At 46.2% G+C, this 12,153-nt stretch overlaps 1 pseudogene, besides 1 other annotated feature; it reads left to right on the plus strand.

The window, feature by feature from the left end:
- Window positions 643-1,160: an enhancer, noted in NCBI's record as "H3K27ac hESC enhancer chr17:19395941-19396458 (GRCh37/hg19 assembly coordinates)". NCBI's record gives its function as "activates a minimal SCP1, AML or CMV promoter by ChIP-STARR-seq in naive H9 embryonic stem cells {active_cell/tissue: H9 hESC(naive)}" and the evidence as "EXISTENCE:reporter gene assay evidence [ECO:0000049][PMID:30033119]".
- On the plus strand, window positions 4,935-5,582 carry RPL17P43 (ribosomal protein L17 pseudogene 43; annotated as a pseudogene).

The following is a 12,153-nucleotide window of genomic DNA, read 5'->3' on the forward strand; positions in this document are numbered from 1 at the left end:
ATAACTGGTGTCCTTATAAGAAAAACATTATCCTTCCACCCGCAGGATCCACTGTTGGAAAACCAGAATAGTATCAGAAATAGTGGCAGGAAATAGGGACTTGAATAGAGGAAGGGAGGTGTTTTTATTACTTAGTCCTCCCACCCTCAATGAAAAAAGAGACAAGTAGGGAAGAATTCTGATTGTCAGTGAACATAGCACTCAAGAAAATATATTAGGTCTATAAAATGATAGTTTAAAACCTGATGGTATGGTTTGAATGTGTCCAACACTCAAAGTTCATGTGTTAGAAACCTGATCCCCAATGCAGCAATGTTGGGAGGCAGGGCCTAATGGGAGGTGTTTGGGTCACGGGGGCTCCGCCCTCATGAATGGATTAATGCCATTCTTAGAGGAAAAGATTCATTACTGTGGGAGCGGGTTCCTTATAAAAGGACCAGTTCAGCTCCCTCTTGCACTCACTCTCTCTCTGTTTCTCACTCTTTCTTTGCCCTTCCACTATGGGACGACACAGCAAGTAGGCCCTTGCCAGAACCTGGAGCCCTCCAGAACGGTGAGCTAATAAATTTCGGTCCATTATAAGCTATAAGACCCTTCACTGATACCTCAAAATGATGTATGGGTGTGACTAGGAGGGCTTTTAAGAATGTTAAAGAAATGATGTCACTGAAAATGGTGGACTAGAGAACTCCAAAACCCATCCCTCCACTAAAGCAACAATTAAACTGGCAAAAAAAATGTCAGAATTTACTTTTCCTGAATTTTGGGATAATAAAAAACAACCACTGAGGGTCTGGTTAATGAAGAAAGAAGCAGCTAAATTTTGGTAAGAGATATTGTGGCATTTCAATGTAACCCCCAATCACCTCTCAATCCCCAGTTCAGAAAGCAGCTATGGAGATGGTGGCCCACATTCCTTGGGCAGCTTGCTTGTGCCAGAGAGGCCAATAAGGTCCTTGTTCTCAAAAAGCTGTGGTTGTATTTTTCGACCAGTCTGGCAGCAACCAGAGGGACTGACTCAGAGGCTTGCCTTTGTTTCATCGCCCTCAGAACTTTCAGCATTGGAACCACCTTCCCAGCAGTGTTTGTCGAAAGGATTTAAAGGCATATGCCAGCTGTAGCCACCTGGAGCAAGGGAAAACAGATGGGGCCAGAAGCAGACACACCAGAGCACCTAGGAGGGAAGAGGCTGGGGAAAGAGAAACATGGAGAAATAAAGACTTCGAAAAGCTCCTGCATAGCTGGGCGCAGTGGCTCACGCCTGTAATCCCAGCACTTTGGGAGGCCGAAGTGGGCAGATCACGAGGTCAGGAGATCGAGACCATCCTGGCTAATGTGGTGAAACCGCATCTCTACTAAAAACACAAAAATTAGCTGGGTGTAGTAGTGCACGCCAGTAGTCCCAGCTACTCGGGAGGCTGACGCAGGAGAATTACTTGAACCCGGGAGGCAGAGCTTGCAGTGAGTGGAGATCGTGCCACTGCACTCCAGCCTGGCAAAAGAGCAAGACTCAGTCTCAAAAAAAAAAAAAAAAAAAAAAAAAAAACAAAGCAAAGGTCAGGCGCGGTGGCTCACGCCTGTAATCCCAGCACTTTGGGAGGCCGAGGTGGGGGATCACTTGAGGTCAGGAGTTTGAAACCAGCCTGGCCAACCTGGCGAAACTCTGTCTCCACTAAAAATACAAAAATTAGCCAGGCATGGTGGTGGGCGCCTCCCAGCTACTCGGGAGGCTAAGGCACCAGAATTGCTTGAACCAGGAGGCAGAGGTTGCAGTGAGCTGAGATCGTGCCACTGCACTGTAGCCTGGGTGACAGAGCGAGACTCTTTCAAAAAAAAAAAAAAAGCCAAAAAGTAGAACCCAAATATTCACCAACTGATGAATGGAAAATAAAATGTGGCCAGGCGTGGTGGCTCACACCTGTAATCCCAGCACTTTGGGAGGCTGAGGCGGTGGATCACCTGAGGTCAGGAGTTTGTGACCAGCCTGACCAACATGGTGAAACCCTGTCTCTACTAAAAATACAAAATTAGCTGGGCGTGGTGGCACATGCCTGTAATCCCAGCTACTTGGAAGGCTGAGGCAGAATCGCTTGAACCTGGGAGGCGAAGGTTGCAGTGAGCCGAGAGGCCATGTACTGTATGATTCTATTTACATGGAATACTCAAAACAGGCAATTCCATAAAGATAGAAAGTAGACTAGTGGTTGCCTTTGGCTGTAGAAACTGGCAGATGCGTTGGTTAATTTTATTTGTCACCCTGACTGGGGAACAGAGAGCCCAGATATTTGGTCAAACATTATTCCAGGTGTGTCTGTGAGGGTGTTTTTGGATGAGATTAGCATTTAAATCAGTAGACTGAGTAAAGCCAACTGCAAATGTGGGTGGGCCTGATTAGAACAAAAAACCCCACCCTCCCTTGAGTAACATTGCTTCTTCCTGGGTCTTGAGCCCACTGGCCTTCAGATGGAAATTACACCAGTGGCTCTCCTAGCTTTCAGGCCTTTGGACTTAGACTAGAACAAAACCATCAGTTCTTCCTGGTCTCCAGCTTGCTGACTGACCCTGGAGATCTTAGGACTTGCAAGAGCCAATTCAAATGCATATATGTGTTATTGGTTTCCTTTATCTGGATAATTCTGACTAATTCATGGGAATTGGGAGGTGACGGTTAAGATTTCTTTTTGGGATGATAAAAATATTCTGCAATTGATTTTGGTGATGGCTGCATAACTGTGACTATATTAAAAGCCACTGAATTTTATGGCATGTGAGTTCTATCTCAATATAACGTTAGCTATTTTTGTATGGTATATGAATCACATCTCATGATAACATATAGCTACTTTTTTTTTTAAGAAAATCTGCTTTTAAAGGCATTTGATACTCACATTGTATATACTTTATTAAAGACCTAGAGGCAGAGGCTCTAGAAGGAGCAGGGGTCCCCAGCCACCGGGAGATTCCCAGCTCCCTTCTCGTGCTTGGATTCGCGCACTCAGGCTCATCCCTGCGGGTGGGCCTCTTGGACGCAGCACCCTCCGGAGACAGCGCCACGGGTGTGGGACTTTTCCTCCTTTCCAATTGGCAAAGTGATCCCGGGCAAGTCATTGTCCGTCATCCCAGGTATGCCTCTATAAGGTGTGGGACAGCTCCTGGTTCCACAGAGGATCGAGCATGGGGGCAGGTGGTGGACCGAACTGGAGAGGAAGGACTCTCGCGATGGGGCAGCAAGTAGGACGGGCGGTTCCAGACGAGCACACGGGGTGGGGCGGGCCAGCGTGACGCCACAGGCGCCCCATTGTGACACACAGGCAGCCTCAGCTGGGATTGGCCGGGAGGCGCCGGCCAGGGATAAAGCCAGAGTTCCAGGGCCCCCACCCTGGCCAGAGTCTGGGCAGAGAGAGTCTCTGCTGCTCCTGCTGCTGCTCCTGCTGCTCCTGCTGCTGCTCCTGCTGCTCCTGCTGCTCCTGCTGCTCCTGCCCGGCCTCCCCTCTAGGTAACCCGGAACCCTGACTCCGGTGAGGAGGCCACGCTCACCTGTCTTGGGTCCCCTAAGTCCCAGGCCTTGTCTGCATGTCAGCCCAGGGCTGGGGCTGCACCCCTGCCTAGGTCTCCCAGGCCCAGCCTCTGACTGCATTCCAGGCTTCTCGCCCTTCTAACTCTCCTGCGGCCTCCCTGCCTCGCGCCCAGGTCTGTTTGGGTCTAGGTAACCAGGGTTGGGTGGCGGCCTCGGGAAGCCGATGTGCTGTGGGAAGTGTGGATGCCGCGTAGCGGTGCCTCCATGGGAAGCCGTGCCTCCAGCTCAGGGACAGATGTCCTCAGTGGGGCCCACTGTCCAGCTGGACATCTCTAGAGCCTCCGGGACAAATTTAGACTGAAACCCATTGAACCTTTGGAAACATTCATCAAATAAACTGAATTGGGAGCATAGGAACAGAAATAAATGAAGGTCATTCCCTGCAGAGAAGAACCAAAACCACAGAGAATGAAGAACTAGGTTTTAGAATAGGAGCATCTAAAAATAGTTTGTACAGGTGCAGAGAGGCTGCCTTTTTGCTCATGATGACAAGAAACATCAGAACCTCAAAACAGGGCTTAGAGGAGCCACCTTTCCCCACAAAAAAAGGTGTGGATTGTACCTCTCTTTCCTTTAAAGAACCCCAGGATTGGTTAATGGTTCTGTGGGATATGGGGGCCTAAGTCCTGGCCCAGAATTTATTGAAGTGTTTGGGGGAACCTGTAATCAATACGATTTTATTCTTAGGAACATTTTCAGCAGGACACGGTGGCTCAGACTTGTAATCCCAGCACTTTAGGAGGCGGAGGTGGGTGGATTGCTTGAGCCCAGCAGTTCAAGACTAGCTTGAGCAACATGGCAAAACCCCATCTCTACAAAAGGAAAAAAAAGGAACACTTTTCTTCAGAAAAGGAAGATGTCAATGGACTGAACAGTAGATTAAACATGTTTAAAAAAAAAAATCTCCAGGCCGGCAAGGAGTCTTATGCCTGTAATCCCAGCACTTTGGGAGGCCAAGGCAGGCGGATCACCTGAGGTCAGGAGTTCTAGACCAGCCTGGCTAACATGGTGAAACCCCATCTCTACTAAAAATATAAAAATTAGCCGGGCATGGTGGCAGGTGCCTGTAATCCCAGCTATTCGGAAGGCTAAGGCAGGAGAATTGCTTGAACCTGTGAGGCGGAGGTTGCAGTGAGCCAAGATCGTGCCATTGCACTCCAGCCTTGGCAACACAGTGAGACTCCGTCTCGGAAAAAAAAAAAAATCTCTATAAAGATGCAAGAGTCCTTACAATATTATCAAAATGTGAATTGAAGCCAAAAGCAGAAAATCTCTTGTGGGCAGGGAGTGGACAGCAAAAGGCTTTTTAAAGGAAGATATTCCACACAAAAAAGAATGGAGCCTCTTTCCCTCAGCGGCCCAAGGTAATCTGTGAAAAAGGTTCACTATTCACTTGACCTCGAGAACCCCACAAAATCACGCAAATCAAGAGGTTCCAATATTCGTGTTCACTTTAAGGTATGCGATTCATAGTTGTGATCCAAGAGTTCCTCGTGTTCCACTCAAAAAACACTTGTGAAACTGCCCAGGCCATCAAGAGTGTGCATATACGAAAAGCCACGAAGTCTCTGAAAGATGTCACTTTACAGAAACAGTGCGTACCATTCTAATGTTACAGTAATGAAGTTGGCAAACAGTGGGGTTGGACACAAGGTCGGTGGCCCAAAAAGAGTGCTAAATTTTTGCTGCACATGCTAAAAAATGCAGAGAGTAATGGTGAACTTAAGGGTTTAGATGTAGATTCTCTGGTCATTGAGCATATCCAAGTGAACAAAGCACCGAAGATATGCCACTGGACCTACAGGGCTTATGGTCGGATTAACCCATACGTGAGCTCTCTCTGCCACACTGAGATGATCCTTACTGAAAAGGAACAGATTGTTCCTAAACCAGAAGAGGAGGTTGCCCAGAAGAAAAAGATATCCCAGAAGAAACTGAAGAAACAAAAACTTATGGCACGGGAGTAAATTCAGCATTAAAATAAGTGCAATTAAAAGGAAAACAAAAAGAATGGAGGAAAATTAATAAAGGCCATTAAACAAGGTAAAGTTGTGCAATGAGAATTCAAAAATAGATTTGTAGCAAAGATTAAAATAATGCATGTATAATACAGTGCTAGGAAAATAACAGGTCCTCAGGAAAAAATATTAGATAAAGTAACAAAGATTTGCATTTCCAGACCACTCAGAATTGGTTTGTGAATCATTCTGTAGTGATTCACATCAGATTCACACCAATTCTGTGGCCAATTTACACATTCATAAAGCATCACAAGAAGTTCACACAATCTGGATTCTGAGCATGCAATCAGAGTGATTAGATTGGACTCCATATGGCCTAATCAGAGAAAGAGTAAATTTGAGAGGAGAAATGAGAAAGGGAAAAAGAAAACCAACATTACAACAAAGTAATTAGAAAAAGGGGCCCACTCACACCATGGTGTCTTTGGGTTTATGTGACTCCACTGTAAATATTAACAGCAAACTTAGTTGTCACTCATGCTTGCAGAGAAGCTAGAAGTAGGTTAAATTATACATCTCAGTCCTATAGCACTTGTCAGCTCTGTACCCCATGAAGTCCTAAATTCTGACATATCTGTTGCTATTGTTTGAATGTGTCCTCCAAATTTCATGTGTTGGAAACTAAATCCCCAAATTCATATGTTTATTGGAGGTGAAGCCTTTAGGAGGTAATTAGGATTAGATAACGTCATCACGGCAGAGTCCTATTATGGGACTGGTGGCTTTATAACAAGAGGAAGAAAGACCTGAGATAACATGCACATTTTTGCCCTCTCGCCATGTGACGCCCTCTGCGATGTTATGACATAGCAAGAAGGCCTTCACCAGATGCCGACACCATGCTGTTGGACTTCTCAGCTCCCAAAACCGTGAGCTAAATAAGCTTATTCTTTATAAATTACCCAGCCTCCCCAGGTATTCTGTTATAGCAACAGAAAACAAACCAAGATATCTGTGAAAGCCTAGATACACTAGGCACACTAAATATCAGGAATCCAAAAATTGCTCTCTCTGGAATCCATTTCCATACATTACTTCCCTTAATCCTTACAATAACCCTTTGAGATAGGTTATACTCCACACATTTTAGAGTTGAGGAAACTGGCAAAGAAAAGTTGGGTGACCCATCCAAAATCACACAGCTAGTAGGTAGCAAGGACTTGAGGCCCTGTCCTGACATCTGGCCCTTTGGCATAGTTGTTACCTCTTTCTTGGTAGAATGGATCTCCATACCTTAGATCTTCCTTATTTGTATTGCTGAAGACATTTTTACAATTTTATTTATTTATTTATTTATTTATTTATTTAGAGATGGAGTCTCATTCTTTTGCCCAGACTGGAGTGCAGTGGCACAATTTCTGCTCACTGCAACCTCCATCTCCTGGGTTCAAGCTATTCTCCTCCCTCAGCCTCTCGAGTAGCTGGGATTACAGGCACATGCCACTGTGCCAAGCCAATTTTTGTATTTTTAGTAGAGACAGGGTCTCACCATGTTGGCCAGGCTGGTCTCAAACTCCTGACCTCAAGTGATCCACCTGCCTTGGCCTCCCAAAGTGCTGACATTACAGGTGTGAGCCACCCCACCAGGCCCATGAAGACATTTTAAACCCATAAAAGTAAATTCTGATTAACAATTAGAACAGGTCAGTTGCGGTGGCTCACACCTGTAATCCCAACACTTTGGGAGGCCAAGGCAGGTGGATCACTTGAGGTCAGGAGTTCAAGACCAGCCTGGCCAACATGGCAAAACCCCGTCTCTACTAAAAATACAAAAATTAGCTGGGCGTGGTGGTGCATGCCTGTAATTCCAGCAACTGGGAAGGCTGAGGCACGAGAATGGAGGTTGCAGTGAGCCGAGATCACACCACTGCACTCCAGCTTGGGTGACAGAGCGAGACTCTATCTCAAAAAACAAAACAAAACAAACAACAAAAATCCCAATTAGGACAAAGCCCTCTTTTACAATTAATATCATATATCAGGTTGGAAGACAGCTGTGGTGGTCCAAAAAAGACAGCCTCATATTCATTAATGTTGACAGAATTACAGAGCTCTGTCTGCCACTGGGCCTCTCTCTCTGCACATAGCCCTCACTAATAAGCCACACTCATCATCAGCTGCATTTTGTGAGCATTGAGGAAGCATGGCCTTTGGGTTTAATAAAGTACCGAGTCCAGCTCTCTAGGCTGAAAAACATCTCCAAAGACAAGGTCAGCCAAAATTGTCATGGGGGCAAAGATAAATGGAAAAAGTCATATTTATTGTCAAATAGGGACTGGCTGGATAGGATCCTCATCCCTTGCTAGTTGCACTCACAAGCTGTTACCCCAAGAGACATAGCACTTTCCACTTCCAACATTCCATTTCTCCAATGCAACGGGCATCCAAATCACTCTAGTGTCTTCAGACCATTGAACATACATGGCACTCTTCTAATCAGACAGACCATTGAAAGACTTTAGGCCCTGACTGTTTAGCCACATTTACATGGGTTTGAACTGAACCACATCTTCGGAAAAACCAAAGCCTAATAGGTCACAGAAGCCTTAAAAGGGGGACAGGCAGAGAGAAAAAACAAGGCAATTGTTTCCACCTGTAATCTTTTTGGATTTTCCCATTTTAAGAGAGGGTTTCTTTCCTATTTGAGGGCCTTGAGGCACATCATATGAAATGAATGAAAACCTGGCATCAAACAAAATCATCATGAAAATCTAAATGCCCAACGTTCACAAACTCCCCGAATCTGCATTTTTACCCCCAAGTAGCAGCTAGACTCCACTTTGATCTTCCTCCATCTCCATAACATGGCATTCAGACTGGGGTTTTGTTTTGTTTTGTTTTGTTTTGAGGCAGAGTCTCACTCTGTCCCAAGGCTGGAGTGCAGTGGCATGATCTCGGCTCACTGCAACCTCCACCTCCCAGGTTCAAGCAATTCTCCTGCCTCAGCCTTCTGTGTAGCTGGGACTACAGGCGCATGCCACCATGCCCAGCTAATTTTTCTATTTTTAGTAGAGACGGGGTTTCACCATGTTGGCCAGGATGGTCTCAATCTGTTGACCTCGTGATCCGCCTGCCTCAGCCTCCCAAAGTGCTGGAATTACAGGTGTGAGCCACCGCAGACTGGCCTTTTTTTGTCAGGAGGCTGCAGCCTGGTGGAGGCTCCCTCTGCCTGGGGATCTGCATGAAGCCCACACTGACTCCCAGTGAGGATTTCTGATGGAAACTGAAGGCATGCCACCAGTTTTAATGGGATCTTTCGTCCTGAAGAGTGGCATAGCTAGCTGGTGTTGGGACTTAGAAGAAAGATTTTCTGTCACAATGGGAAACAGGAGTTCCTTTCTTTCCTTTGGGCTAAATTCCCTGTTAGCGGGGAGCAGGGGAGCTAGAGATCATCCAGAGACTTCGCTCCTAAGAATCTGGAGTCATCTATCAGTTGGGGCACTCATAGTTGGGATTGGTGCTTGAAGTAGGACATCAGAGATGGGTAAAAAACAAAGAGGGGAAAAATCTGCAAATGTATGTTGCATGCTGTGGCAAATCCCAGATGTGGTCCTCAGGTCCTCCTCCAAGGGAGAACTTGCTGTCCAGCCATACAAGGGCAGTTAGTGGACAGCCTGCAGCTGGCCTTTGCCTACCTCAGCTTTCCAGCCAATGTCACCATCCCACAGGAGTGGCCCTGGCCGGTGACTGAGCAAGGTGGTGGTACAGGGCAAGCCATTTCCATGGGACATGGGATTCCCCTAACAGAGCTCCCCATGGACAGGCAGAGAATACAGGCATCTAGAGATAGTTTGTACACATGCATCCTGGCCTGATGGCTGTCCCTGCCAACCCGGCCAACTCCCATTTCCTTTCATAAGTGTTACTCCCAAAATCACTGTGTCAGCAGATACTTCCCAAAAAGCCAGCCTGCAAGAGCAAGTCTGTCCCCCAAACCTTTGGTGTGGTGGTAGAGATAACCCACTCCACAGGGCAGTGTGCTTTTTCCCTTCAGGGTTCAGTTTTCAAGTTCTGGTTGGAATTTGTCAGATCAGGAATGTGTAAATCTGAAAGATAAATGACATCTTCCATGGGCTTTGGGGAGCTGGAACATTTTCAGCCCCTTAGAAAACAGGAGCCAAGGCTGTGCGCAGTGGCTTACACCTGTAATCCCAGCACTTTGGGAGGCCGAGGTGGGCAGATCACTTCAGTCCAGGAATTTGAGACCAGCCTGGGCGACATGGTAAAACCCCGTCTCTACTAAAAATATAAAAATTAGCTGGGTGTGGTGGCACACACCTGTAGTCCCAGCTACTTGGGAAGCTGAGGCAGGAGGATCCCTTGAGCCCGGGAGGCAGAGGTTGCAGTGAGCCATGAGCGTGCCACTGCACTCCAGCCCTGCAACAGAGCAAGACCCTGTTTCAAAAAAAAAAAAAAAAAAAAAAAGTAAAGACTTTGTCTTGACTAACAAATACACCTGGGCCAGGTATGGTGGCCCATACCTGCAATTCCAGCACTTTGGGAGGCCAAGGGGGTAGGATTGCTTGAGCCCAGGAGTTCAAGACCAGCCTGGCATCATGGCAAGACCCTGTTTCTACAAAAAAATTAAAAAATTAGCCAGGCAGACGGGCATGGTGGCTCACACCTATAATCCCAGCACTTTGGGAGGCCGAGGAGGGCAGATCATGAGGTCAGGAGTTTGAGACCAGCCTGACCATCATGGTGAAACCCTATCTCTACTAAAAATACAAAAATTAGCCGGGCATGGTTGCGCGCACCTGTAATCCCAGCTACTCGGGAGGTGGAGTTTGCAGTGAGTTGAGATCCCACCACTGCACTCCAGCCTGGGCGACAGAGTGAGACTCTGTCTCAAAAAAAAAAAAAAAAAATTAGCTGGGGATGGTGGCCATGGTCCCAGCTACTTGGAAAGCTGAGGCAGGAAGATCCCTTGGAGCCTAGGATTTCAAGGCTTCAGGGAGCCACGAAGGTGCTACTTCACTCCAGCCTGAGCAACATAGTGAGACTCTGTCTCAAAAACAAACACAAAAACACCCACCAGTCACCTAGGTGTGAGATGATACTAAACTAAGCAGAGACCAGGAAACCAAGCTGTGCGTGTTTTTCTCAGTGATGAGGCAGCCCCACTCATAATGTGCTTGTGGCGTAACCCCTGCGTCCTTCCGCCTCCTCCACAACAGTCACTCTGAGTCGTCACTGTCATACCTCTTTACTCCAGGAGCCTTGTATGTTCATGCATAGGGGCCAGCTCTCACGAGGGTCAGCTTCCCGGCCTCATGCCCTGGAAATCTAGGTTGCATTTGTACAACGGGACAGTCAAGATGCTCTGAGGCATCATGATTATAAACACAATTTTTATGAAAACAATCTTGAAGGCATATCTTTGCATTTATCCTTGTTTCTTTAGTACATATTCTCTAGAAATAGAAATGTCTAGACAAAAGCATCTAAAAAACATTTGTCATATTATAATCCAAAAAGCAAGTTCCAATTTATACGTGCTTTTCCCATCTTGCATGACAATATTTATTTCCACATATTCTTGCCAATGTTGGTAATTATCCTAGTTTGTATTTGTCAATTTTCTATATTCTACAGAAGTTTTTTGTTGTTGTTGTTAAATAAGGTTTAGCTGGGCGTGGTGACTCATGCCTGTAATCCCAGCACTTTGGGAGGCCAAGGCAGGCGGATCACAAGGTCAGGAGATCCAGACCACGGTGAAACCCCGTCTCTACTAAAAATATAAAAAATTAGCCAGGCTCGGTGGTGGGCACCTGTAGTCCCAGCTACTTGGGAGGCTGAGGCAGGAGAATGGCATGAACCCGGGAGGCAGAGCTTGCAGTGAGCCGAGATCACGCCACTGCACTCCAGCCTGGGCGACAGAGCGAGACTCCGTCTCAAAAAAATAAAAAAAATAAAAAAATAAGGTTTAGTGTTTGCATATACAAACTCTAAAATAAGGAAGCAATTCTTTACAATTTCTGGGCAACAGCAGAGCTGGGAGGAGGGTGAGGCGCTATGTAACTCTCTCAGGTGCATAATTCAAAGAGCTGTCAAAACACTCAGCAATCAAGACATTTAAAATATTTAATATTTCCAAAAGTAAAAATTAGTGCAAAAATCTCTGATGAACAAAGTATCAAAATTTTACATAAGATGGGTTTCCACCCTGCACAACTGCATGCTTGCCTCACTCCTAGTCCTTGCCCTGGTAAGTAGCGTCCTAGTCTTTATTATTTATTTATTTATTTGTTTGCTTTATAGAGACAGGGTTTCACATGTTGGCCAGGCTGGTCTTGAACTCCTGACCTAAAGCGACCTGCCTGCCTCAGCCTCCCAAAGTGCTGGGATTATAGGTGTGAGCCACCATGCCCAGCCAGAGTCCTAGTCTTTAAAGGGACCCTTTAGCCACATCTGCATAAGTCACTTGATCTAATCTCTTCATTTGATCACAACGCTATACTGTAGTTTAATGTCTTACCTCTGTCATAGAACACAAGACAGTGCTTGGTTCCATATCCTAGGAAAATAGGGGGCCAGGACATCACAGGTGCAGCC

The sequence above is a fragment of the Homo sapiens genome, chromosome 17 (genome assembly GCF_000001405.40).
Source record: "Homo sapiens chromosome 17, GRCh38.p14 Primary Assembly".
In the NCBI taxonomy this organism is placed as follows: domain Eukaryota; kingdom Metazoa; phylum Chordata; class Mammalia; order Primates; family Hominidae; genus Homo; species Homo sapiens.